Raw genomic sequence first — 27,965 nt, forward strand, 5'->3', positions numbered from 1 at the left:
TACTGAGAACTATACATACTATCCCTACTTAGTGTTCCTGGCTGAGATATTCAACCCTGGCTCTTGGTTCTCCATCAGAATAAACAGTTATGGTACTATTAGAGTTTTCCCTTTAGTGTTCCATGTGCATTCACATGCAGGGTCTACACTGTTGCTGTTGATGAGGCAAGAGTTAATCAACTTTACTCTTCTCATTCCACAGAGATGGAAACCAAGGCACAGAACTACTGTGACTTTCCCAGAACCTCAGACCTAGACTGGTTTGCACCTTGAACTTGATTCCAGGATATGGATTCATGAAATGTTAGTCATCATATTTCATACTGAGAAAGGTCCTGGAAGGATCATCCAGACCAACGATTTTTATTTCTCTGAGCATAAAACTGAGACCTGTTTTATGATTTATCTAATATCACAAACAGTTGGTGACAGAAGTAGGAAATACAGCTGAGGCCAAAACTCATTCTGAACAGCAAATGAAAACAGATACTTTTGGCCGGGCATGGTGGCTCATGCGTGTAATCTCAGCACTTTGGGAGGCTGAGGCAGGCAGATTACCTGAGATTGAGAGTTTGAGACCAGCCTGACCAACATGGAGAAACCCCGTCTCTGCTAAAAATACAAAAAAATTAGCCGGGCATGGTGGTGCATGCCTATAATCCCAGCTACTCAGGAGGCTGAGGCAGGAGAATCGCTTGAACCCAGGAGGCAGAGGTTGCGGTGAGCCGAGATCGTGCCATTGCACTCCAGCCTGGGTAACAAGAGCGAAACTCCGTCTCAAAAAAATAAAAAAAAAAGAAAGAAAGAAAACAGATACTTTCATCGAATCCATTATGTGCCAGGCACTATTCTAAGAGCTTCACAACAAGCCTATGAAATAGGTGCTACCACTCTTTACAGATGAAGAACGGATGCAAGTTCACACAAGCAGTGCATTTCAGAGTTGAAATCAGAAACTATATAGTTTAGATCCAGAGACTTGCTGCACTTAAGGAACACACTGAACAAGGGAAGTTCTAGAATTGGGCAGACCTGGACTTCTGTCCTTGGGCATATCACTTAAGTTCTCTGAATCTTCTCTTACTCATCTGTTAAATGGCCATATTTCACATGAGTGTAAAATGGAGTAAATTAGGTAAGTCCTATAAAGCCCTGAGCAAAAATTCTCAATCAATATTAGTGTTGAATTAAGTTTCACTTAAAGCTGCCTCCTTGCATATTTTAAGTTCACCCTGACAGTTTTTCTGTACATAGTAAACTATAACCTAACTGGATGTGTAAACAGACTGTAACCTACTCCTGTGCCACTCACAGTTTTGGCCAATCAAAGGTGGCCAACCATTCAAACCATGTTAAAATAAGGCAAATGCTGGGCTGTAACCAACACTTCCATTTCTGTACCTCACTTCTGTTTTTTATAGGTCATTTTCCTTTTTCTGTCCATAAATCTTCTACCAGGCAGCTGCACCGGAGTCTCTCTGAGGCCACTCTGGCTCGGAAGTCTGCCTGATTGGTGAATAATTCTTTGCTCAATTAAACTCTACTAAATTTAATTTGTCTAAGGTTTTTCTTTTAACATTAGCTACTGATGTCACTATTAATATTAGCTAGTGATGACAACAGTTCTCCGGAATCCACCCTAGTCCTGTGGTCATTTTTAGATTTCTGGTTCTCTGACCACTACATTGCTAATCCTCCTTCTAGTAAATTTTCATCTACCTTGAACTTCCTTACACACTATTCCCCCTAAACGTTGTTCCAGTTGAGTGCCCAGCCAGAAAGATTAAAGCTCTCCCTGCTGAAATCTCCTTTCCCTCCAGCAGGAAACCAGTGTAGTTATGTTGTTTGTACTTGCCAGGATACACTTCCATTTCATATTTGCAAGTACACATAAAGGTATCCTTCATCAGCAGCACAGTGCTTCCTTTCCTCTGAATCTGCCATCAGCTCAGGCAGATTTCTAAGCAGCAAATCAGCCTTTGCCAGAACACTGCAGGACACCAGTGCAGCGCCCAGCCTGCGACCATGAGGTAAAGGATTTTTTCTTGCATTTATCCCTTGAAATTATGTTGTGTGCCTTTGAAAACCTCAAGGTAGATTTTCTTAGGTGCTGGATTTGGGCATCTGCTTAAATATTTAACATATCTTAGAGAATACTTGTTTCTTGTTAATTCAGGCATTTTAAAATCTGTGGCGCTTCCAGACTCATATCAACATTCCCTGATGGAAGCCTTTAGCAATCCTAACCAGGAAGTGGCCAGAGCCTGGAGCCAGAGACGAACGTCCCTCATAGGAGGGGTTGCTGGAGGAGGAGGGGCAAATCTATTTCATTCTGTCCTTGCAGGCACATTTTCATCAGTTAATGATGCAAACCAGGCTGAAACGTTCTTAACAAGCATGTGTGTTTCTGTTTTTCATTTGAAAGTCAGGAGCATGAGGCTATATTCATCATAGAGGCAGGGTTTCTCTGTGTCAGAGCTCAGCATTGGCAGCTCTAGCAAAGGACAGGCTGCATTTAGCTGGTTCTTTTCTAAGGAGCCACAGTCAGGCACTAAACCAGCATCTACACCTCTGAGGCCCCTAAAAGCCTCCAGTGAAGCTGGGCTTGATCAGACCTCAAAAAGATCTCCCTTTGCATTTTGCTCTTAGTTCTCAGTGATCTTTAAAAAATAATAATAATAAAAAGATTAGAATCATGAAAGATTTTTCTCAGGATATGAATACTATAGGCACACTAAAGAAACTTTGGAAAAATGCCAGCAAGTATAAGCGAAAAAAAATCATACTGCCCCTTATATCACCCACTGAAATTAAAATATTTAAACATTATGCTTCTGTGTACACCTGTATACGCTATATGTCAGGCCTCTGAGCCCAAGCTAAGCCATCATATACCCTGTGACCTGCACGTATAAATCCGGATGACCTGAAGTAACTGAAGAATCACAAAAGAAGTGAAAATGGCCTGTCCCTGCCTTAACTGATGACATTACCTTGTGAAATTCCTTCTCCCAGCTCTTCCTGGCTCAAAAGCTCCCCCACTGAGCACCTTGTGCCCCCCACCCCTGCCAGCCAGAGAACATCCGCCTTTGACTGTAATTTTCCACTATCTACCCAAATCTTATAAAAACAGCCCATCCCATCTCCCTTCACTGACTCTCTTTTTGGACTCAGCTCGCCTGCACCCAGGTGATTAAAAAGCTTTATTGCTCACACAAAGCCTGTTTGGTGGTCTCTTCACATGGACGCGAGTGACATTTGGTGCCGTGACTCGGATCGGGGAACCTCCCTTGGGAGATCAATCCCCTGTCCTCCTGCTCTTTGTTCCAAGAGAAAGATCCACCTACGACCTCTGCTCCTCAGACCAACCAGCCCAAGGAACATCTCACCAATTTTAAATCGGGTAAGTGGCCTGTCTTTACTCTCTTCTCCAATCTCTCTCACTATCCCTCAACCTCTTTCTCCTTTCAATCTCGGCACCACACTTCAATCTTTCCCTTCTCTTAATTTCAATTCCTTTCCTTTTTTGGTAGAGATACGGGAGATGTGTTTTATCTGTGGACTCAAAACTCCAGTGCTGGTCACAGATTCGGGAAGACAGTCTTCCCTTGGTGTTTAATCACTGCAGAGATGCCTGCCTGATTATTCACCCACATTTCATTGGTGTCTGATCACCGTGGGGATGCCTGCCTTGGTCATTCACCCACATTCCCTTAGTGGCAAGGCAATTGTGGGGACACCTGCTTTGGCTGCTCACCCACATTTGCAGCCCAGGGCTGCTCACCCAACCCCTTCTCTCCATGTCTCTACCCTCTCTTTTCTCTCCACTTTCCTGGGGGGCAAGGACCCCCTACCCCTTCTCCACTTTCCTGGGGGGCAAGCACCCCCCACTCCTTCTCTCTGTGTCTCTACCCTCTCTTTTCTCTCCACTTCCCTGGGGGACAAACACCCCACCCCTTCCCCATGTTCCTGGGGTGCAAGAACCCCCCACCCCTTCTCTCTGTGTCTCTACCCTCTCTTTTCTCTGGACTTGCCTCCTTCACTATAGGCAAACTTCCACCCTCCATTCCTCCTTCTTCTCCCTTAGCCTGTGTTCTCAAGAACTTAAAACCTCTTCAACTCACACCCGACTTAAAACCCAAATGCCTTATTTTCTTCTGCAATGCCACTTAACCCCAATACAAACTCGACAGTGGTTCCAAAGAGCCATAAAATGGCACTTTTGATTTCTCCATCCTACAACACCTAGATAATTTTTGTCGAAAAATGGGCAAATGGTCTGAGGTGCCTGACGTCCAGGCATTCTTTTACACATCGGTCCCTCGTCCCTCCCTAATCTCTGTTCCCAATGCAACTCATCCCAAATCTTCCTTCTTTCCCTCCTGCCTGTCCCCTCAGTTCCAACCCCAAGTGTCACTAAGTCTTTCCAATCTTCCTTTTCTACGGACCCATCTGACCTCTCCCCTCCTCCCCAGGCTGCTCCTAGCCAGGCCGAGCCAGTTCCAATTCTCCCTTAGCCTCCGCTCCCCCACCCTATAATCCTTCTATCACCTCCCCTCCTCACACCCAGTCCAGCTTCCAGTTTCGTTCTGCGACTAGCCCTCCCGGACCTGCCCAGCAATTTCCTCTTAAAAAGGTGGCTGGAGCTAAAGGCATAGTCAAGGTTAATGCTCCTTTTTCTTTATCCAACCTCTCCCAAATCAGTTAGCGTTTAGGCTCTTTTTCATCAAATATAAAAACCCAGCCCAGTTCATGGCTTGTTTGGCATCAACCCTGAGATGCTTTACAGCCCTAGACCCTGAAAGGTCAAAAGGCCGTCTTATTCTCAATATACGTTTTATTACCCAATCTGCTCCCAACATTAAATAAAACTCCAAAAATTAAATTCCGGCCCTCAAACCCCACAATAGGATTTAATTAACCTTGCCTTCAAGGTGTACAATAATAGAGTAGAGTCAGCCAAGTAACAATGTATTTCTGAGTTGCAATTCCTTGCCTCCACTGTGAGAGAAACCCCAGCCACATCTCCAGCACACAAGAACTTCAAAATGCCTAAGCCGCAGCAGTCAAGCATTCCTAGAGGACCTTCTCCATCAGGATCTTGCTTCAAGTGCCAGAAATCTGGCCACTGGGCCAAGGAATGCCCACAGCCCGGGATTCCTCCTAAGCTGTGTCCCATCTGTGTGGGACCCCACTGAAAATCAGACTGTCCAGCTCACCTGGCAGCCACTCCCAGAGCCCCTGGAACTCTGGCCCAAGGCTCTCTGATTGACTTCTTCCCAGATCTTCTGGGCTTAGTGGCTGAAGACTGACACTGCCCGATCACCTGAGAAGCCTCCTGGACCATCACAGATGCTTTAGGTAACTCTTACAGTAGAGGGTAAGTCCATTCCCTTCTTAATCAATACAGAGGCTACCCACTCTGCATTACCTTCTTTTCAAGGTCCTGTTTCCCTTGCCTCCATAACTGTTGTGGGTATTGACGGCCAGGCTTCTAAACCTCTTAAAACTCCCCAACTCTGATGCCAACTTGGACAACATTCTTTTATGCACCCTTTTTTAATTATCCCCACCTGCCCAGTTCCCTTATTAGGCTGAGACATTTTAACCAAATTATCTGCTTCCCTGACTATTCCTAAACTACAGCCACATCTCATTGCCACCCTTCTTCCCAACCCAAAGCCTCCTTCATGTCTTCCTTTCATATCCCCCCACCTTAACCCACAAGTATAAGATACCTCTACTCCCTCCTTGGTGACCGATCATGCACCCCTTACCATCCCATTAAAACCTAATCACCCTTACACCACTCAATGCCAATATCCCATCCCACAGCACGCTTTAAAAAGGATTAAAGCATGTTATCACTTGCCTGTTACAGCATGGCCTTTTAAAGCCTATAAACTCTCCTTACAATTCCCCCATTTTACCTCTCCAAAAACCAGACAGGTCTTACAGGTTAGTTCAGGATCCGCACCTTATCAACCAAATTGTTTTGCCTATCCACCCTGTAGTGCCCAACTCGTACACTCTTTTGTCCTCAATACCTCCCTCCACAACCTCTCCACAACCCAGTATTCTGTTCTGGATCTCAAACATGCTTTCTTTACTATTCCTTTGCACCCTTCATCCCAGCCTCTTTTCACTTTCACTTGGACTGACCCCGACACCCATCAGGCTCAGCAAATTACCTGGGCTGTACTGCTGCAAGGCTTTGCGGACAGCCCCCATTACTTCAGTCAAGTCCAAATTTCTTCTTCATCTGTTACCTATCTTGGCATAATTCTCCATGAAAACACATGTGCTCTCCCTGCTGATCATGTCTGACTAATCTCCCAAACCCCAACTCCTTCTACAAAACAACAACTGCTTTCCTTCCTAGGCATGGTTAGGTATTTCCACCTTTGGATACCTAGTTTTACCATCCTGACTAAACCATTATGTAAACTGACAAAAGCAAACCTAGCTGACCCCATAGATCCTAAATCCTTTTGCCACTCCTCTTTCCATTCCTTAAAAACAGCCCTAGAAGCTGCCCCCATGCTAGCTCTCCCTAACTCATCCCAACCCTTTTCATTACACACAGCGAAAGTACAGGGCTGTGCAGTCAAAATTCTTACACAAGAGCCAGGACTGCATCCTGTAGCCTTTCTGTCCAAACAACCTGACCTTATTGTTTTAGGCTGGCCCCCACCCCCATGACTGTATCTCTCTGATCTACCTGACATTCACTCCATTTCCCCATATTTCCTTCTTTCCTGTTCCTCATCCTGATCACACTTGGTTTATTGATGGCAGTTCCACCAGGCCTAATCTCCACTCACCAGCAAAGGCAGGCTATACTATAGTATCTTCCACACCTATCATTGAGGCTACCACTCTGCCCCCTCCATTATCTCTCAGCAAGCCAAACTCATTGCCTTAACTCGGGCCCTCACTCTTGCAAAAGTACCACACATCAATATTTATACTGACTCTAAATATGCCTTCCATATCCTGCACCACCATGCTGTTACATGGGCAAAAAGAGGTTTCCTCACTACGCAAGGGTCCTCCATCATTAATTCCTCTTTAATAAAAACTCTTCTCAAGGCTGCTTTACTTCCAAAGGAAGCTGGAGTCATTCACTGCAAGGGCCATCAAAAGGCATCAGATCCCATTGCTCAGGGCAATGCTTATGCTGATAAGGTAGCTAAAGAAGCAGCTAGCATTCCAACTTCTGTCCTTCACGGCCAGTTTTTCTCCTTCTCAATGGTCACTCCCACCTACTCTCCCACTGAAACTTCCACCTATCAATCTCTTCCCACACAAGGCAAATGGTTCTTGGACCAAGGAAAATATCTCCTTCCAGCCTCACGGGCCCATTCTATTCTATCGTCATTTCATAACCTCTTCCATGTAGGTTACAAGCCACTAGCCCACCTCTTAGAACCTCTCATTTCCTTTCCATCATGGAAATCTATCCTTAAGGAAATCACTTCTCAGTGTTCCATCTGCTATTCTACTGCTCCTCAGGGAATGTTCAGGCCCCCTCCCTTCCTTACACACTAAGCTCGGGGATTTGCCTCTTCCCAGGACTGGCAAATTGACTTTACTCACATGCTTCAAGTCAGGAAACTAAAATCCCTTTTGGTCTGGGTAGACACTTTCACTGGATGGGTAGAGGCCTTTCCCACAGGGTCTGAAAAGGCCACCATGGTCATTTCTTCCCTTCTGTGAGACAAAATTCCTCTGTTTGGCCTTTCCACCTCTATACAGTCTAATAACGAACCGGCCTTTATTAGTCAAATCACCCAAGCAGTTTCTCAGGCTCTTGGTATTCAGTGGCGCCTGGTTTTACCTCAAACTGCCACCCTTAAGTCTCTGTTTGAACGGATAGAAGATCTTTGGTGACAAAGTATACTCTAATACTTTCACCCCGATGAAGTCCTATTCTTTACTTTTACACTTACTCTTATTCTCGTTCCCATTCTTAGGCCACCCTCTACCTCTCCCCAGCTATCTCCACCACACTATCAATCTCAGTCACTCTCTCCTAGCCATTTCTAATCCTTCTTTAACAAACAATTGCTGGCTTTGCATTTCTCTTTCCTACAAAATCGCTGAGGCCTTGACTTACTCACTGCTAAAAAAAAAGGGTGGGGGGGACTCTGTATATTTTCACATGAAGAGTGCTGTTTTTACCTAAATCAATCTGGCCTGGTATATGACAACAATAAAAAAAACTCAAAGATAGAGCCTAAAAACTTGCCAACCAAGCAAGTAATTACACTAAACCCTCTTGGACCCCCTTGGACACTCTCTAATTAGATGTCCTGGGTCCTCCCAATTCTTAGTCCTTTATTATCTGTTTTTCTCCTCCTCTTATTTGGACCTTATGTCTTCCATTTAGTTTCTCAATTCATCCAAAACCGTATCCAGGCCATCACCAATCATCCTATACAACAAATGCTCCTTCTAACAACCCCACAGTATCACCCCTTACCACAAAATCTTTCTTCAGCTTAATCTCTCCCACTCTAGAAGCAGCCCTGAGAAACATCGCCCATTATCTCTCCATGCCACCCCCAAAATTTTTGCTGCCAACACTTCAATACTATTTTATGCTATTTTTCTTATTAATATAAGAAGACAGGAATGTCAGGCCTCTGAGCCCAAGCTAAGCCAACATATCCCCTGTGACCTGCACGTATAAATCCAGATGGCCTGAAGTAACTGAAGAATCACAAAAAAAGTGAAAACGTCCTGTCCCTGCCTTAACTGATGACATTACCTTGTGAAATTCCTTTTCCTGGCTCATCCTAGCTCAAAAGCTCCCGCACTGAGCACCTGGTGACCCCCACCTCTGCCAGCCAGAGAACAACCCCCTTTGATGTAATTTTCCACTATCTACCCAAATCTTATAAAACGGCCCCGGCCCTATCTCCCTTCACTGACTCTCTTTTCAGACTCAGCCTGCCTGCACCCAGGTGATTAAAAAGCTTTATTGCTCACACAAAGCCTGTTTGGTGGTCTCTTCACGTGGAAAAGAGTGAAACTATATAAAATAGATTTCTTTGGAAAATATTTCAAAGTTAAGGGTGTATGTTACAGTTGGTTTCATCTTATCCTTTCACTTAACATTATATTGTGAGTGTTTTCTGATATTATTACAATTTTTCAATGACATGGGTATTGAGAGCTTCATAATAATATTGCAAAATATGGATGTAGGATGTAGGATGACTTCTCGGTCTCCTTTCTTTGTTCTTTTTTTCATTTCCTTTCTTCCATCCTTCCTTCCTTTCCTCCTTCATTCCTTTTTTCCTTCCTTCTCTCCAATCCTTCCTCTTACTTCCTTCCTTTGTTCCTTCCCTCCATTCTCTTCTTCCTCATTTTTTCCCCTTCCTCCCTGCCTTCCAGATTCCTTCCTTTTTAGCTTAATTAAATGTATACATTCACATCATTTAAATAGTCAACGTGATCTACAAGGTAGGAGACATAGCAACCCCCTTCCCCATTCCACCCTATTTCCCAGTCTCCAGAGGTAACCACATATAACTCTTTTGGTGCCTATTTTGTGATTTGTTGCCACACCCTGAGATTCTTCCATGCTGTCTTTTTTCAGTTTAAAGTATTTATTATAGTTAACCTACCACAATACATGATACCATGATACACATGAGTTATATAGTCTTAACTAGCCTTTTGATTTTTTTTTTCTTTTAAGCATGAGACCACAAGGAGTCACATACTGACCTTTAGGCAGGACAGTGCTTTACTCAGAAATCCCTGACCATGAGCTGAGTGCAATGATTCCTTGACTGTGGGTTGGCTCCCCTGGGAAAGGTCCCATTATGTTCTATGTTTGGGAAGAAGTGTATACATGGTTATTTAGGGCCAGAGCAGGATACTGTTGTGGAAACAACTCATGATCCTTCCAAATTAGTGTTTCCCCTTCATAATATGAAGTCGTCACCAGGAAGGGGGCTTCCTACTCTGCAGCTACATGAACTAACCTTCACTTCTCCCCAGGTGGGCCATGAACTAGTGCTTCCTAATAGAATGTGAGTGAATGTGATGTATGTCATTTCCAAGTAAAGATGGTTAAGAATCAGGTGTACCCTCTTTACTCTCAATTTCCAGGCTCTAGGGGATGGTAGAGTCACAGGATGGAAGAACTCTGTGTCCTTGAATCATTGCATGGAAGAGAACTGGAAGTTGCCCAGGAACACCAGCCTTGGACAGTTATGTGAACAAGAAATAAACTTCTTTTACAGTGTCATTTATGTTTTTGAGCATCTTTGTTACAGCGGCTAGGTGTATACTAATTCAGGGATTCTGTGATAGCAATATTTCTTCTTCTTTTGAGTAGGTTTCCAAAACTTGATTTTCCACAATTCTGAAATATTTTGGTTCTGGGATAAACTTTTCTACTCTTTTGGCAGCACAAAGATCCCTTTGTACAGAGGCACTGATTTGTCTTCTTCTGGAGTAGCATCCCAGTTTCTCACTGTGGCCAACAAAGCGAATAAAAAGAAAAAAAGGATCTGAAATAGCAATCCAGCGGCAGCCACCAATACCTGATAATACTATAGTCAAAGCTCCACATTAGAGAACAGACCACTTTCAGGTGAGTGGCCCCTGGCCCTAGAAGTAAGTGGTATTCAAAGATGGTAAATGGTATGGGTGGCAGTAGAAGGTAGTAATAACTAACCCTTATTGGGCATTTACCATGTGCCAAGCACTGTTCTCAGAGCTTTATACATAGTAGTCCACTCAATCTCCACAAAACCCTATGTGGTAAATACTAACATAATTCCTTTTTCTTTTTTAGAGACCTAGTCACGTTCTGTCACACAGGCTGGAGTACAATGGTGCAATCTTGGTTCACTGCAGCCTCAAACTCCTGGGCTAAAGCAATCCTCCTGGGTAGCTAGGACGACAGGCTCATGCCACCATGCCTGGCTACTTTTTTTTTTTTTAATTGTAGAGATAGGGTCTTGCTATGTTGCCCAGACTTGTTTCAAACTCCTGGCCTCAAGCAATTCTCCTGCCTCTGCCCCTCAAAGTGCTGAGATTACAGACATGAGCCACTGTACCTGGGCACAATTCTCATTTTAAAAATGAAGAAATTGAGGCACAGAAAGGTTTCTAATATGGTTTGGCTTTGTGTCCCCACCCAAATCTCATCTCAAATTATAATCCCCATAATCCTCATGTGTCAAGGGCAGGACCTGATGGGAGGATTGGATCATAGGGGTGGTTTCCCCCATATTATTCTCATGATAATGAGTGAGTTTTCATGAGAGCTGATGGTTTTATAAGCATCTGACATTTCCTCTGCTTACATTCACTCCCTCCTGCTGCCTTGTGAAGAAGGTGCCTTGCTTCCCCTTTGCCTTCTGCCATGATTGCAAGTTTCCTGAGCCCTCCCCATGGAACTGTGATTCAGTTAAACCTCTTTCCCAGTCTCAGGTAGTATCTTTCTAGAGTATGAGAACAGACTAACACAGTTTCCATCTCTATTACTTAACAGCAGCAGCCAGATCCCGGCCCCCTTTTCTCCACCCATATGTAATTCCTCTTACGGTCTCCACTTACTCTTTTTTTTCCCCATGGACTTGTCCCATATTGTCTAATTTATTTATTATTGTATTAGTCTACATTGGCTGCCATAATGAAAAATCACAGACTAGGTGGCTTAAGCAACAGAAATCTATTTTCTCACAGTTCTAGATGCTAGAAGTCCAAGTTGGTTTCTGGTGAGACCTCTCTTCCTGACCTGGAGATGGCAGCCTTTTCTTTATCTTCACATGGCCTTTCCTCTGTGTGAGATGAGAGAGAGAGAGAGAGAGAGAGAGAGAGAGAGAGATATCTGAGGTCTCTTCTTTTTCTTCTTGTTTGTATGAAGACGTCAGTGTTACCAGATTAGGGGTTACCAGATTAGGGGCCCCACCCTTAAGACCTCATTTAACCTTAAATACCTCCTCACAGGCCCTATCTCCAAACAAAGTTACGTTGAGGGTTAGGGCTTCAATGATGAATTTTGGGAAAGGAGTTGGGAACTCAATTCAGTCCAAAGCAGTTGTTTATTGCCATCTCTTCCTGATAGAATATAAGCTCCATGAAGACAGAGATCTTTGTGTACTGATGTATCTTAAGAGCCTAGAATGGTGCCTGGCACATAGTAGATTCTCAGTAAGTATTGATTTGATGAACGAATGGTGAATGAATGAATGAAACAAATACTCCTAGTGTTCTAACAGGGATAAGTGTACAAATTGTCCCAGCAGAAGTTTATTTAGCATGGTCTTATTTCTGAATAGGACTATGGAAAGATAAAGTCATTTACCCGCATCAAGTTTCCACTCAAAGACTGCCCAACTGCAGTCTAAAAAATTAATGCTGAAAAATGTCTTAGTCCATTTTTTTCTGCTATAACAGAATACCACAGATGGGCAGATTGGGAGATTGGGTAATTTATAATGAACAGACATTTATGGACACATGGTTCTGGAGGCTGGAAAGTCCAAGATCAAGGGGCCACATCTGGCCAGGGCCCTCTTACTGGGTCATCCCATGATGGAAGGGTAAATAGGGGGTGAGGGTGAGCAAGAGAAGGTTGAAGTCATCCTTTTATATGGAACTCCGTCCCTCAATAATGGCATTAATCTATTCAAGAGGACAATGCCCCCATAACCCAAATACCTCCCATTAGGTCCCACCTCCCAACACTGCCACATTGGGGATCAAGTTTCCAACACATGAACTTTGGAGGACATATTCAAACCACAGCAAGAAGAAATGGTGTTTAATTAATTTTTGAAAAAAGAATAAGAATGGGGAGCTGGCCAAGTGCTGTGGCTTATGCCTGTAATCCCAGCACTTTGGGATGCTGAAGCAGGAAGATCAGTTGATCCCAGGAGTTTGAGAGCAGCCTGGGAAACATAGTGAGACCCTATCTCTACAAGAAATAAAAAATTAGCTGGGTGTAGTGGCACTCATCTGTGATCCCAGCTACTCAGGAGACTGAGGTGGGAAGATCACTTGAGCCTGGGAGGGAGGTCAAGGCGACAGTGAGCTCTGATTGCGCCACTGCACTCCAGCCTGGGTGACAGAGCAAGACTCTGTCTGAAAAGAAAAAAGAAAAAAAGGAAGAAAGGAAAGGAAATGAAATGAAAGGAAAGGAAAGGAAAGGAAAGGAAAGGAAAGGAAAGGAAAGGAAAGGAAAGGAATGGAAAGGAAAAAAGAATGGGGAGCTATTTTATTAACTATATCAATATTTTTGAAGTTCATGTGGAAGACCATTTTAAACGTGTATTTGTGAATGAGTACAGAAGGGAATGTCATATAGGTGGGAACACATTGTTTTCAAATTACAGCCCATTGTGGGGATCAAGAGAACCCACTGGGCTACCTAAGTATTCCTCTAACAAGTGCGAATACTATTGAACAGTCACCAGCTCTTCTAGGTGGACAAAACTTCAGTTAAAAATAGACTCAAAACAAAAAAGAGGGTCAAATTTTTTAAAAAATCTCAAGGAAAAAGCATAGAGTTTCATTTTATAGAAGTAAAAGTATTTTTGCTTACATTCAATATATTATTTGGTTCTCAGACTTTAGCATCCATTATAATTATCTGGAAGGCTTATCAACACCTAGATTTCTGGGTCCCACACTGGAATTTCTGATTCTATCAGTCTAGAATGGGGCCTAAGAATTTGCACTTCCAGGTGATGCTGATATTGCTGGTGGCAAGTAGCAATATGAGAATTATTGCATTATACCATCTGTAGTTGATGTAACCCATTCCAGGAACAGGAAGCAAATCTATATTCTATATAAATGAAATCTATTGTTCTAGGAAATATGAACAGGGCCTATATTCCAGGAAAAAGACACATATATATTTGTAGCAACGAGGTTAGGCAGAACTCTTTCTAATAAGTTTCATTTTCTCAAAATAGAAATAACACCAGGAGAAAGTTGGTTTTCCTTTTCAGTTGCTATTTTGCAATCACATTGCATGCATAGTCTCACACTAACCCAGCTACTAAATCAGCTGATGCATACCTGCTGTGGTAACATTATATACAGGCACTAGCCATACAAATTTCTGAAGTGTAAATCAGTATCTCAACCATTTCAAAGCACAGTGACCATGGCAAAACCTTTCTCTATGCTTCTCCCCAACCAGTACCTTTATTCACAAGATTTTAAAATTCCTATCCAATAGTTTTCTTGAATACTGAGTTCAAAAAATAAATCAAACCAAACCCACAGCATTTCCACTTTCCTATTTCAGCATTTCTTAAAAACCTAACATACATTTCTGTAAGTACCTAATAGAACTTGTAAATAGAAGCCAGGCACTGTGGCTCATGCCTGTAATCCTAGCACTTTGGGAGTGCTTCCCAAGGCGGGCAGATCCCTTAAGGCCAGAAGTTCATGACCAGACTGGCCAACATGGCAATACCCCATCTCTACTAAAAATACAAAAATCAGCTGGGCCTGGTAGCTGGGCCAAGTAGCCAGCTACTTGGGAGGGTGAGGCACGAGAACTGCTTGAACCCGGTAGGCAGAGGTTGCAGAGAGCCAAGATCTCACCACTGTAGTCTAGCTTTGGCAACAGAGCGAGACTGTCTCAAAAAAAAAAAAAAAAAGAAGAAGAAGAAGAACTTGTAAACAGAAAAGGAACTTGAAACTCTTGCGTAAGACACAAAAGTAAGGGTTTCCAACTGGGACAGGCTTAGCTGTGCATCCTAATCAAAGGGTGGAGACTTTTTAGGAAGGATAGTTTCTTTTTCCTCCCTGCCCTAGGCAGAAAAAAAATTATGGTAAATAACTTTTCCCAAGACTGAATAACCTACCTTAACAACCTCAGTTTTGCTGGAGAATGTGTTCTATCTGTGCTTTGTGTAATTTTCTGACCTCAATCTTTGAGGTACTATTATTTTCTTTTGGGCCTATATACATGATTACCCCCTTTGTGACTAAGGGTATGAATAAGGAAAATACATTTCTTCTATCATTACAAAACACTATGGCTGTACATTGTGATTTGGGGATGTCAAATACCAGGGCAACAAGCAGGGATTTAAAATATGGTGGGGATTCTGGTTCAGGATGGCTGACTAGAGACATCAGACACCCACCCTCTCTAGAAAGAAGAACCAAAATTATGAATAGATAATTATACCTCGAATAGAACATCTAGGAGACAACACTAGAATTCAACAGAGAAGTCATGGGAAACACCCAAGGCGCAGAAGAAGAAGGTATCAAGTGGCCAGCTTGGCTGAGATTGGCCAGGATAACAGAGGGCCTTGGCATTTCAGGGAAAGGTCAAATGAGAGAACTTCAGCAGTCCACATCCCTCCTGCAAACTGCTGCAATCTGAAACATGAGAGAGTTTCTCTACCCATACAAACTCTGACACCAGTATGGGTGGTGATTTGGAGACCCCACAAGGGTATTTCATGAGACAGGGAACTCACGCTGGGTCTCTCAGCTCCCCCAAGACCTAAGCGGCACCATTGTGAGACTATAGTCATGGAATTACATCCTATCCTGGGAACCGCAGCTCCCATATCTCCATATCCCAGGAGCCCCCAGTGATATTTCCCAGTATCCACCCAGTGGGCTACAGTGACACAGCACTGGCTAGACCCAAAGGTAATACAGTGTCCGCAGCACCCCAGCCCACAGGGAGTACTACTCCCCAGGGAAAGAATGGTGCAATGTGCCAAAAAGACAGCCCCTGATACAAAGGAAACTAAAACATGTCCTTTCCAGAGCCTCCTGTTTGGGGCTGTGAGAAGTGACCCTACCCTTAGCAGCACCACAAACTCTGTACTCGGCCTCACAAGTGGATAGTGAGATACTCTCCCACTAGTGAAGCAGGCTGTGTGCTTGGGCTTACATGTAGAGAGCAGAGCCCCTTCTTGTCCTCTACACACTGCTGCAGGCACAGCCACTGATGCTACTACCAGAGGCTGGGGCAGGGAAGCCAGATGGCCGCCTGTCTGGTGCTGTGAGTGGTGACTGCACCCCCACTGGACGCATGGCCTCTGTGCCTAGGCTCACACCTAAAGAACAGCGTCTCTCCTCTCTCTGCACAGTGCTGCGGGGTTGCTATTACAGAGAATGAAAGAGCCTGAGAGCTGTGTGTCTGTGGTATAGGTGGCAACCCTGCACCACAGCCACTGCCAACATCAGTGTACACTTATCAGAACCCAAGGGTTTGTCCCACCGTTGGCTACTGCCATTGCCCAGATCACATCAGCTGCCCAGGGACTTGAGAACCCACTCACCCACCTGGCCCACTGCTGCCACTATCAGCATCTGAGCAAGCTATCTGGGGGCCCAGGAATTAGCCTACCTGGTCCCACTAACACCAGTGCCAGTGTATGTTGTTCTGGGGCCGAAGATCAGACATCCTCAACCCACTGCTGCCACCACTGGGGCCTGAAGACTGGCCCACATGGCAACCCTGTTCCCAGTAAAATGTCACGATAGCCTCCAAGAATAAACCCCACCCTAAACCATCAAGGAAATCATATATATCACTGATCACAGCCAAATAAATTGTACAGAGGCTACACTACCATGCACACTCAGAATCAAAGTTGAAGTGCCTTACTCAACCAATATTGTTGATATATCTTCAGGAAAAAGTCCTCCCCTACAAAAGCAAATTCAAAAATTGAAAGAAGTGACTATTATATTAGATGCTCAGATATCAGTGAAAGGACACAGGAAGCATGTAAAAGCAAGGAAATATGATACCTTCAAAGGAATACAATTCCCCAGCAACAGATCCCAATCAAAAAGAAATCCAGGAAAAACTATTCAAAATTATACTAAGCACAGTGCCTCACACCTGTAATCCCAGCACTTAGGGAGGACAAGGAGGGTGGATCACCTGAGGTCAGGAGTTCCAGACCAGCCTGGCCAACATAGTGAAAACCCATCTCTACTAAAAATACAAAAATTAGCCAGGCACGGTGGTACATGCCTGTAATCCCAGCTCGAGAGGCTGAGGAAGGAGAATCACTTGAACCAGGGAGGCAGAGGTTGCAGTGAGCAGAGATCGCACCACTGCACTCCAGCCTAGGCAACAGAGTGAGACTCCATCTCAAAAAAATAAAAAATAAAAAAATAATATATATGTATATATAAAAAATACTAAAGAAGCTCAGCAAGATACAAGAGATTTCCAAATCCAATACAATTCAAACAATACACAGAAATCGGAGAAACAATTCAGGATATGAATGAGAAATTTGCCAAAGAAATAGGTATCATAAAAATAACCAAACTGAAATTCTGGAACTGAAGAATTCCTTGAATGAAATACAAAATATACAAGAAGCTTCAACAGTAGACTAGACCAAGCAGAAGAGAAAACATCAGAACTTGAAGACAGGTCTTTTGAAATAATCCAATAAGACGAAAATAAAGAAAAAAAAAGAATTAAAAAGTATGAACAAAGTCTTCACGATCTATGGGACACCATAAGGTGACCAAATATATGAATTATCAGTATCTCCAAAGGCGAAGGGAAACTGAAAGGGTTTGAAAACCTATGTAATGAAATAATAGATGAGAACTTCCCAAGTCTAGTAAGAGATTTAGACATCCAGATACAGGAGGCCCAGCAATCCCCAATCAGATACAGTGAAAAACGTTCTTCTCCATGGCGCATTATAGTCAAACTATCTAAAGTCAGTGACAAAAAGAAAATTTTAAAGACAGCAAAGGAAAAGCATCTCATCACCTATAAAGGAGCTCTGGTATATGTGACCAACAGGCATATGAAAAAATACTCAACATCACTCAACCCCAAGGAAATGCAAATAAAAATCACAATGAGATATCATCTCACCCCAGTTAGTATGGCTATTATTAAAAAAAAAAATAACAAATGCTGGCAAGGATGCAGGGGAAAGGGAACTCTTATACACTGTTGGTAGGAATGTAAATTAGTACAGTCATTATGGAAAACAGTATGGAAAGCTCTCAAAAAACTAAAAATAGAATTTTCATAAGACCCAGCAATCACACTACTGGATGTCTATCCAAAGGAAAATAAATCAGTAAATCAAAAGGATACCTGCACTCACATGTTCATCACACCACTATTCATAATAGCAAAGATATGAAATCAACATAGGTGCTCATCAGTGAACAAATGGATAAAGAAAATATTGTATATATACACAATGGGATATTATTCAGCCATTAAAGAGGAATGAAATCATGTAATTTGCAGCAATGTAGTTGGAACTGGAGACCATTATGTTAAATGCAATAAGCCAGGCACAGAATGACAAATACTGCATGTTCTTACTGAAATGTGGGAGCTAAAAAACTTTATCTCATGGACATTGAGAATAGAATAATAGATACCAGAGACTGGGAAGGGGGGTGGTGGGAAGATGAGAGTTAGGTTATGGGTACAAACATGCCGTTAAATAAAAAAAATAAGTTCTAATGTTTGATAGCCGACTAGGGTGACTATACTTAGCAACAATATTATGTATATTTTAAAGTAACTAGAAGAGAGGACTTTAAATGATACCAACACATAAAAATGATAAACACTGAAGGTGATACATACCCCAATTACCCTGACTTGATCATTAAACATTCTTTGCACGTAACAAACACTCACATGCAACTCATAAATATGTAAATTATTATACATCAATAAAAAGGGGGAAAATATTGTGGGGCTTGGGGAAGCCAAGAACATAAGGAGATGTTAGGAATTGTTTGGCTTAGGTCAGTAATTGTGATGGATTGTTGAATGTCAGAGGAGATAAAGTTCTGGAAAAAGCCAACATTGAAATTTCCCCTGGCCGGGCGTGGTGGCTCACGCCTGTAATCCCAGAACTTTGGCAGGCCAAGGCGGGCAGATCACCTGAGATCAGGAGTTCGAGACCAGCCTGGCCAACATGGTGGAACCCCATCTCTACTAAAAATACAAAAATTAGCCGGGCGTGGTGGTGCGTGCCTGTAATCCCAGCTACTCGAGAGGCTGAGGCGAATCACTTGAACCAGGGAGGTGGAGGTTGCAGTAAGCCAGGATCTTTCCACTGCACTCCAGCCTGAAAAAAAGAGTTTCCCCTCTGATCACTTTGGTTAACGATTTTAGTTAATAATTATAATAGAAACTAGCATTTACTTATTACTGCCAGGCATTATTCTAAGGACATTTCACGTATTCTCTCATTTCATCCTCCCAACACCACAATAAACCAGTAGTTGTATTATTCCCAATTTACAAAACCGAAGCAGAGACATTCAATAATTTTCCCCAGAGTTTCATAGCATAAAGGTGGAAGCTGATTTCAAATCCAGATAGACAGACATCACTGCCCATGCTTCTAATCATGTATTCATTTAGTCAACAACTACTTTTGGAATGCTTGCCATACCATGCAATGTGCAGGTTGTTTTGCAGGGACTGGAGATTCAGCAATGATTCAGACTAAAATCCCCTGCCCTGTCGAGGCTAAATAACTGCTCCTTACAGTGGCCTGTGGATCATATTGGTATAAGGCAGAGCAAAGATGGGTTAATATGGTAATCACAAGGCAGGGAGCTTTGTAAATGTGTCCTCCTAGGAGTTGTGCTCCCTTGATGCCATCAGTACATTCCACAAAGAGGAAGTTCTTCTAACTCACTACGCAGCTGGGCTTGGCTCTTACTCAAGAGCATTTTGGGGTGAAAATATCTAAGTTTACCAGCCCTTGTGCAAATCTGAGATGAAGGACTACATTAAAAGTAAAATTCACCTTAGCAGGAAGTGGGGTTTGCTATTCTGTGTATATCTTTAACAGTATCTGCTGAAAAGAACCCTTTTGTTAAATAATTGTATTACAAGTCCCCAACTTAATCTTTTCGAATATGAAATAAGAGAGGGACAGTGCACAAGAGCAATGTCCCCAGACCCATCTTTAAGTGAAGCACCAGGCCGATGAAACATCCCTCTCTGCTGCCTTCTTTCTCTGATCACAACTCAGCTCCGGAGGAAAAAGAGTCCTCTAAAGTATAATAAAAAGAAAAAAAGAAAAAGAGTCCTGCCAATTTCACTTTCTAGTTTCACTTTCCCTTTTGTAACGTCAGCTGAAGGGAAACAAACAAAAAGGAACCAGAGGCCACTTGTATATATAGGTCTCTTCAGCATTTATTGGTGGCAGAAGAGGAAGATTTCTGAAGAGTGCAGCTGCCTGAACCGAGCCCTGCCGAACAGCTGAGAATTGCACTGCAACCATGAGGTAAATATTTTCCCTTCGTATTCGGTAGTGCTGTTGAGTCATCTTGTCCAATGCAAATCCTGAGAAGCTATGTTCCCAAAGAGGGCCAGCTCCATTTTAGTGTTTGTTTATAGCCTTACTATGCCTCTACCTCTGTTGGTTGTAAATCTGTCTTACCAATGGTGGTTTGTTCCCTCCTGAACAATTTTCTGCTTCACACTGGCAAGCTTCCTAAATTCATCTCCAGAACTGCACGCCTGGGGAGTTGAGTTGCAATCAGAGAAAGAAGGCAGCAGAGAGGGATGATGTTTCATCGGCCTGGTGCTTCACTTAAAGATGGGTCTGGGGGCATTGCTCTTGTGCACTGACCCTGTCTTATTTCATATTTGAAAGGATTAAGTTGGGGACTTGTAATACAATTATTTAACAAAAGGGTTCTTTTCAGCAGATACTGTTAAAGATATACACAGAATAGCAAACCCCACTTCCTGCAAAGGTGAATTTTACTTTTAATGTAGTTCTTCATCTCAGATTTGCACAAGGGCTGGTAAACTTAAATATTTTCACCCCAAAATGCCTCCTGAGTATGAATTAGAGATGGAGTGCTTGGAGAAAATAGTTCTGTTCTCACCTCTAACATTCCCTTCTATCCCCAAAACATGAGACTGCCCTGGAGAGGAAGTGTTAGCTCATTGAATAGGAAGGGAAATATTTTCTCCAGTTTGAAGGTGGGGTGGCCGGACCTGGTTGCCTAACCCTCATCCTGGGAGCTCTGGAATCCCGTGTTACCAACCCCTGTGCTTACTTCCTATGAGACACCTTGCCCTCTGTCTGTGAGGTTCCTGATTTCTCTTCTTGAAACGATATTATTTCCTGCTAGTCTAAATGTTCTGCCTGATTTCAAAAAAAAAAAAAAAGATTTGAGATATTTACAGATTTCTTTTTTTTGTAGTCACCCAGAATCTATAGAACCCTTTTCTTATTTCTTAGAATTTTAGCATGGTCTTATCTTAGAATTTTTCCCATTACAATACAGACCCATCTGTCCTTTCTTTCCTTAATTCTTTATCTATTGTGACTTTCACTGGGCATTGCCCTTGTGCCCTAAGACAGTGGTTCTCAAAATTGAGCATGCATAAAAATTGCCTGGACAGCTTATTAAGGACAGAGTCCTAGGGTTGACTCCCCAGAGATTCTCATTAAGTGGGTCTGGGTTAGAGTCTGAGGATGTGTGTTTCTAAAAGGCTCCTCAGTGATTCTGAGACTGCGGTGGTAGCATTAGTTCTGAGCCTGGTTGATAATGTCACTGTGGCTTTCATCCAGATAAGAGGCAAAGGAAGAAATTGTTGTTGTTGTGTATACAACTGGAACTTCTATAGGAATCGGGAGAATAGGTCCTCACAAGCCAGAGCCCAGGAAGCAAGTGTCTGGCATCAGCTTCTCTAACTTACCAGTGGAAATAAAAACCCAAAATCAAGCAGTGAAGTTGGATGCCTTTTAAATGGCTGCTCAAAGGGCTTTTACCTAAGTGTGTATATTAAATATCTCTATCCTGCAAATGCACAATAGACTTTATGTTTTATATGGTGGAGATAACCTCAATTCTATTTACTCTCTCTGTTTCTTTTGTAAAATGAGAAAGGAGCTAAGGAGTTTATGTGTTAAGGGAATGAGCTCCCAAACTCAACTGGAAGTTGGAAATAGAATTGAGAGGGAGCAAGGAAGCTATAGTGAGTCTTCAGGTGTTAGGATGCGTGCTGCACATGCTTGGGGTCTGAGAGTGGTCATATTCTGTAGGACTCACCATATTCTGTAATGAATGCAGTAGAGAGTGTGACTGAGATGCACATGGAGAAAACACAGGGTCTGAGCCCTCCAAGCTCCCCAGTGTCCTGTTCTGATCCTCCTGGGGTCACTACAGTCCTACCCATGGTCCTGTGAAGCACTCTAGTAACTTTAAATCAGTTCCTGCTCACCTCTGTTTCTTGGAACAAATGGAGACTTAACTATCCCAGGCAGAATAAACAAACAAACAAACAAAAATAGGATGGAAAATAGGCAGGAGTTTATAGGAAGGACCCGCCTTCCATTCAAAGCTCCAAATAGGTCTTAGCAAAGAGCCAGGTTGTCTAAGTCCCTTGATGTAACTAACCCCAGGTGCGGGAGCCCCGGAGAGTGCTTGGCTTGGTTATCAGGCATCCTAATGGCAGATGCATTCCCGTTGAAAAGCTCATGTCCAAACAGATCTGTTTTTATTCTTAGTGAGGTTACAGGAAGATTCCCAATCAAAATGGGAGTGGGAAGCAGTGGTATAAAAAGTGGGAGAGAGAGGGGCAGTTAGAAAGAGGGGTCACATAATCTTCTATCTAGACATATGTTTCATAAGTGATCCTGCCACATTGCATGACATTCCAGATATCTATTGGTTGTATAAGAAGCCATACTATTTAGAAATACAGCTCCTGATACAAGGGTTGCTGTATAGATACCACGAAAAAAAAATTTAAATAAGAAAAGGCAACATTACAGAGACTCCAATACACAGACAGTGTTGAGAAATAATTTGGGGCATAGAATACTATTTATCTCCAAAGTAATTCGAAATACAGGCTTTTGCTCATTTGTCTGTTCTCTGGGTTTTTTAGGGGTTTTTTTGTTGTTGTTTTGTTTTGTTTTTTGGTTTGGTTGATTTTGGTTTATTTATTTATTTTGAGGACCAACACTAAAGGGAATGGAAAATCTTTCCAGGAGAGTCATAAGGGTACCCTAAAGAAAAAAGAGCTCTTTCTATAAGAAAAGGAGCTAGTGGCCTTGTGAGCCTTCCCTGTAGCTGCACTTCTTGCCCCTTATTATAAAAGCAAAACCCAGAAGAGAAAAATAAAATTTCAAAAAAAAAATTAAAACAATAAAGTACAAAATTATTAATAGAGCAACTCAATGAGATGTGTTAAGAACAGAAATCACCAGTTTAAGAAATAGAGGTATGGGGGGGAGGGGAGGAAAAAAAATTACATTTTATTCCAAAATAAATGTTTAAGACATTGCTAACATAAATAATACTTGAAATTAAATGAGAGAATAATACAAAAGCAGATAAAATGAGTAAAAATTAAGAATGGTTGAAAATAAGATTCAAATGGTTAAAATGGAAAAATTCACAGAAAAAAATGAGAATGTAGCATGTTAAAGTAATAAACCAATACAAAATAAAACCAATCTGATAAAAGCTCAGAAAGTTTGAATAGACAAAATAAATGAAGGATATATTAAAAGCTGAAATAGACAGAAAATCGAAAGTGATAAAGATTTCTTTAAAGGCAAATGAAGGAGAACTAAGGAATTAAGAATATCAAAGATAAAATGAAGCTGCATTTCGGAGGGATGAGAAATTAAAATCACCATGGCAAAACATTAAAAGAATAAAAAATTATAAAGCTGAAATTTTCAAAGTACAAAAGTAAAGCTAGGGAAGAATGAAGAACAGAAACAGCAATGAAAAAGACTTACTTCTTTAAAACTACATAAATAAAACCAAGCCTCCACAGAGACCCTCGAAAGCAGAGAGGGCAGAGCTGTTTAACAAAAACTGTCTTATTCATGAAAACCTAGCCACAGACTCAGAGAACAACCCACTGCCCTCGCCCTAATTCTTCTGCTGCCCACAGTCCCTAAACTCCTGCTACCACATGCAGGAATTAACAATAAGGAAAAACATATTATAGAAAGAAAAGAAGGGGAGTTTCTTTGATTTGTGTTAACAGCCTTTAGGAGGAGGAGCATTTTATTTGCCATGCTCCCATTTCTTGACATATAAATCTGTGTCTCAAAGTCCATCTTTGTGTTTTTCCCTACAGTGAGAACAATAAGAATTCCTTGGAGAGCAGCCTACGGCAACTAAAATGCCATTTCACCTGGAACTTGATGGAGGGAGAAAACTCCTTGGATGATTTTGAAGACAAAGTATTTTACCGGACTGAGTTTCAGAATCGTGAATTCAAAGCCACAATGTGCAACCTACTGGCCTATCTAAAGCACCTCAAAGGGCAAAACGAGGCAGCCCTGGAATGCTTACGTAAAGCTGAAGAGTTAATCCAGCAAGAGCATGCTGACCAGGCAGAAATCAGAAGTCTGGTCACCTGGGGAAACTATGCCTGGGTCTACTATCACATGGGCCGACTCTCAGACGTTCAGATTTATGTAGACAAGGTGAAACATGTCTGTGAGAAGTTTTCCAGTCCCTATAGAATTGAGAGTCCAGAGCTTGACTGTGAGGAAGGGTGGACACGGTTAAAGTGTGGAGGAAACCAAAATGAAAGAGCGAAGGTGTGCTTTGAGAAGGCTCTGGAAAAGAAGCCAAAGAACCCAGAATTCACCTCTGGACTGGCAATAGCAAGCTACCGTCTGGACAACTGGCCACCATCTCAGAACGCCATTGACCCTCTGAGGCAAGCCATTCGGCTGAATCCTGACAACCAGTACCTTAAAGTCCTCCTGGCTCTGAAGCTTCATAAGATGCGTGAAGAAGGTGAAGAGGAAGGTGAAGGAGAGAAGTTAGTTGAAGAAGCCTTGGAGAAAGCCCCAGGTGTAACAGATGTTCTTCGCAGTGCAGCCAAGTTTTATCGAAGAAAAGATGAGCCAGACAAAGCGATTGAACTGCTTAAAAAGGCTTTAGAATACATACCAAACAATGCCTACCTGCATTGCCAAATTGGGTGCTGCTATAGGGCAAAAGTCTTCCAAGTAATGAATCTAAGAGAGAATGGAATGTATGGGAAAAGAAAGTTACTGGAACTAATAGGACACGCTGTGGCTCATCTGAAGAAAGCTGATGAGGCCAATGATAATCTCTTCCGTGTCTGTTCCATTCTTGCCAGCCTCCATGCTCTAGCAGATCAGTATGAAGACGCAGAGTATTACTTCCAAAAGGAATTCAGTAAAGAGCTTACTCCTGTAGCGAAACAACTGCTCCATCTGCGGTATGGCAACTTTCAGCTGTACCAAATGAAGTGTGAAGACAAGGCCATCCACCACTTTATAGAGGGTGTAAAAATAAACCAGAAATCAAGGGAGAAAGAAAAGATGAAAGACAAACTGCAAAAAATTGCCAAAATGCGACTTTCTAAAAATGGAGCAGATTCTGAGGCTTTGCATGTCTTGGCATTCCTTCAGGAGCTGAATGAAAAAATGCAACAAGCAGATGAAGACTCTGAGAGGGGTTTGGAGTCTGGAAGCCTCATCCCTTCAGCATCAAGCTGGAATGGGGAATGAAGAATAGAGATGTGGTGCCCACTAGGCTACTGCTGAAAGGGAGCTGAAATTCCTCCACCAAGTTGGTATTCAAAATATGTAATGACTGGTATGGCAAAAGATTGGACTAAGACACTGGCCATACCACTGGACAGGGTTATGTTAACACCTGAATTGCTGGGTCTTGAGAGAGCCCAAGGAGTTCTGGGAGAGGGACCAGATTGGGGGGTAGGTCCACGGGCTTGGTGATAGAATTATTTCTCGATTGACTTCTTGAGTGCAATTTGAACTGTAACATTTGCTTAGTCACCTTTAGTGGAGTAATCTACTGGGCTTGTTTCTATATTTATATAAAGCAGCCAAATCCTTCATGTAATATTGAAGTCCATTTTTGCAATGTTGTTCCATACTTGGAGTCATTTTGCATCCCATAGAGGTTAGTCCTGCATAGCCAGTAATGTGCTAAGTTCATCCAAAAGCTGGCGGACCAAAGTCTAAATAGGGCTCAGTATCCCCCATCGCTTATCTCTGCCTCCTTCCTCCTCCTTCCCAGTCTATCATCAACCTTGAGTATTCTACACAATGTGAATTCAAGTGCCTGATTAATTGAGGTGGCAACATAGTTTGAGACGAGGGCAGAGAACAGGAAGATACATAGCTAGAAGCGACGGGTACAAAAAGCAATGTGTACAAGAAGACTTTCAGCAAGTATACAGAGAGTTCACCTCTACTCTGCCCTCCTCATAGTCATAATGTAGCAAGTAAAGAATGAGAATGGATTCTGTACAATACACTAGAAACCAACATAATGTATTTCTTTAAAACCTGTGTGAAAAAATAAATGTTCCACCAGTAGGGATAGGGGAAAAGTAACCAAAAGAGAGAAAGAGAAAGGAATGCTGGTTTATCTTTGTAGATTGTAATCGAATGGAGAAATTTGCAGTATTTTAGCCACTATTAGGAATTTTTTTTTTTTGTAAAATGAAGACTGAACTCTGTTCAAATGCTTTCATGAACCTGGTTTGAGACGGTAGGAAAGCAACAAAACGTGGGAACCTGGTGACTAAGGGCCTGGTGCAAGGACTTGGGAAATGTCATTGATAATAGATGGTGGGGTTTTCCCCCCTTTAGAAATGTTGGATATTAAGTGATATAAACACTTCTTTTAACTCCGAAAATCTTCTGAGAAATCACAAAATTCACGGTATGCTTGGAACGATTGAGATTTTCTAGGTAGATGCTGAATAGCCTAGACATCAAAGTTGGTGTGAACCAAAATAGAGTCAGCTGACCCAGCATCAGCCACACTCTGGGTTGGAAAATGTTTGCCTGTTGGAATTAATTTAAGCTTAAGTATATATCAACATTATTTTATTGTGCAATTAAAACAATACAAATTCATGGTTTTTTAAAGTTAAAAATTCTAACCACTGTAACAACAGTTTTTGTGTTATTTTCTGTATTAAACATCTTGTTGCACGCATTTGAGGTCATCAGGGTGCAAAATTTGTATTCCTGAAAATGTCATATATTTTCATTAATAAATAACCTAAATATGATAAAACATAAAGCAGTGTTCTGGTTCATCTGGAATTTTGCTGTACTTTAAATCTTTCAGACTCAGCTACTGATAAATGAAACGTTACACAGGTGTGAACCAAATCCAAATAACCTCGACTGGTCTACTATCATAATCACCTGAACAGAACAAAACTTTTTCCTCAGCTTTAAGAGTCCAGGGCTTCGGATAACAGCTGCCATCTGCCACCTGCTACCATTGACCTACGTGAACACAGACATTCTGTCTCCACCTTGATGGTGGGTGGGCTGCTCCCCTTTTCTTTGTTAAATTTTGTGCTTTCATCACATTTTCTCTATTCTGACCTCTGTTATGAGAAATAAAAGTCACTGATTCCATTTTATGCCCCATCCTGGACGCAATCCAAATGCATGTTAAAGAGTCTTCCCTATTAAGTAAAGAATAGGAAGAGACAAGAAGGCCCAAAATCTCTATTATTTTTCAAGAGGCCTCTAATGGAAAACACAAATCACACCAACTGCAAAGGTAAACTCATTTCATTGGATCAAAATGGACAAGTGTATGTTTCAGGGGAAGATCTAGCTCACCTTGATCTGAGTAAATTAGGACTACATCTGGTGCCTGGGAAGGAACACCACACGTATTCTGAGTGGAAGGTTAAAATGGACAGGTATGCCGACCTTGAGAGAGGACCCTTGGTACCTGTGTGTGCTAAAGATGGATGTATGTAATCTTGTCCTTGCATGTCATGCCTCCAGTCCCTTGCTGGAACAGGACCCTTAGTGGGAAAACAGCAAGAAGGGTAGAAAAGGGAAACATAACATATTACACTTAATATGAGGGCTTAAAGTTAACAAATGATTGGAAAACAATGAAAATTATGTACATAGCTCCAGTTTCCTGAAATTTCACTATCCAAGAATAACAAATGA

General features: G+C 42.2%; 2 protein-coding genes and 2 long non-coding RNA genes across 23 annotated transcripts in view, besides 1 other annotated feature; 2 read left to right on the forward strand and 2 right to left on the reverse strand.

Moving 5' to 3' along the window:
* LIPA (lipase A, lysosomal acid type) overlaps positions 1–27,965 on the reverse strand; it is a 201,108-nt gene that overhangs the window by 68,290 nt on the left and 104,853 nt on the right. For 5 of the 17 annotated variants that reach the window (NM_001440821.1, NM_001440828.1, NM_001440826.1 and 2 more), the window contains one exon: positions 11,711–11,807. The exons of the other annotated variants lie outside the window; for them this stretch is intronic. The gene's annotated coding sequence lies outside the window, so the exon portion shown is untranslated. The remainder of the gene's footprint in view (positions 1–11,710; positions 11,808–27,965) is intronic. 17 annotated transcript variants of the gene reach the window in all.
* On the forward strand, positions 1,813–10,264 carry LOC124902477 (uncharacterized). Of its 4 annotated transcripts, none has more exons than XR_007062230.1 (3): positions 1,813–2,030; positions 3,175–5,361; positions 10,126–10,264. It is a non-coding gene; the product is annotated as an uncharacterized LOC124902477 (long non-coding RNA). The 4 variants fall into 4 exon arrangements; XR_007062231.1 differs by having other exon boundaries at positions 3,175–3,403; XR_007062233.1 differs by having other exon boundaries at positions 3,221–3,403.
* LOC105378419 (uncharacterized) lies at positions 10,249–20,042 on the reverse strand. The gene is made up of 3 exons (NR_188200.1): positions 19,425–20,042; positions 11,711–11,807; positions 10,249–10,492 (listed from the first exon to the last, which is right to left on the reverse strand). It is a non-coding gene; the product is annotated as an uncharacterized LOC105378419 (long non-coding RNA).
* Positions 19,893–20,212: an enhancer, noted in NCBI's record as "active region_3739". NCBI's record gives its function as "activates an Ori minimal core promoter by ATAC-STARR-seq in GM12878 lymphoblastoid cells {active_cell/tissue: GM12878}" and the evidence as "EXISTENCE:reporter gene assay evidence [ECO:0000049][PMID:35858748]".
* On the forward strand, positions 20,185–27,410 carry IFIT2 (interferon induced protein with tetratricopeptide repeats 2). The gene is made up of 2 exons (NM_001547.5): positions 20,185–20,267; positions 24,101–27,410. Exons 1-2 carry the CDS (start codon positions 20,263–20,265, stop codon positions 25,512–25,514), a joined length of 1,419 nt encoding a protein of 472 aa, NP_001538.4. The 5' UTR covers positions 20,185–20,262; the 3' UTR covers positions 25,515–27,410.

The sequence above is a fragment of the Homo sapiens genome, chromosome 10 (assembly GCF_000001405.40).
Source record: "Homo sapiens chromosome 10, GRCh38.p14 Primary Assembly".
Lineage (NCBI taxonomy): Eukaryota > Metazoa > Chordata > Mammalia > Primates > Hominidae > Homo > Homo sapiens.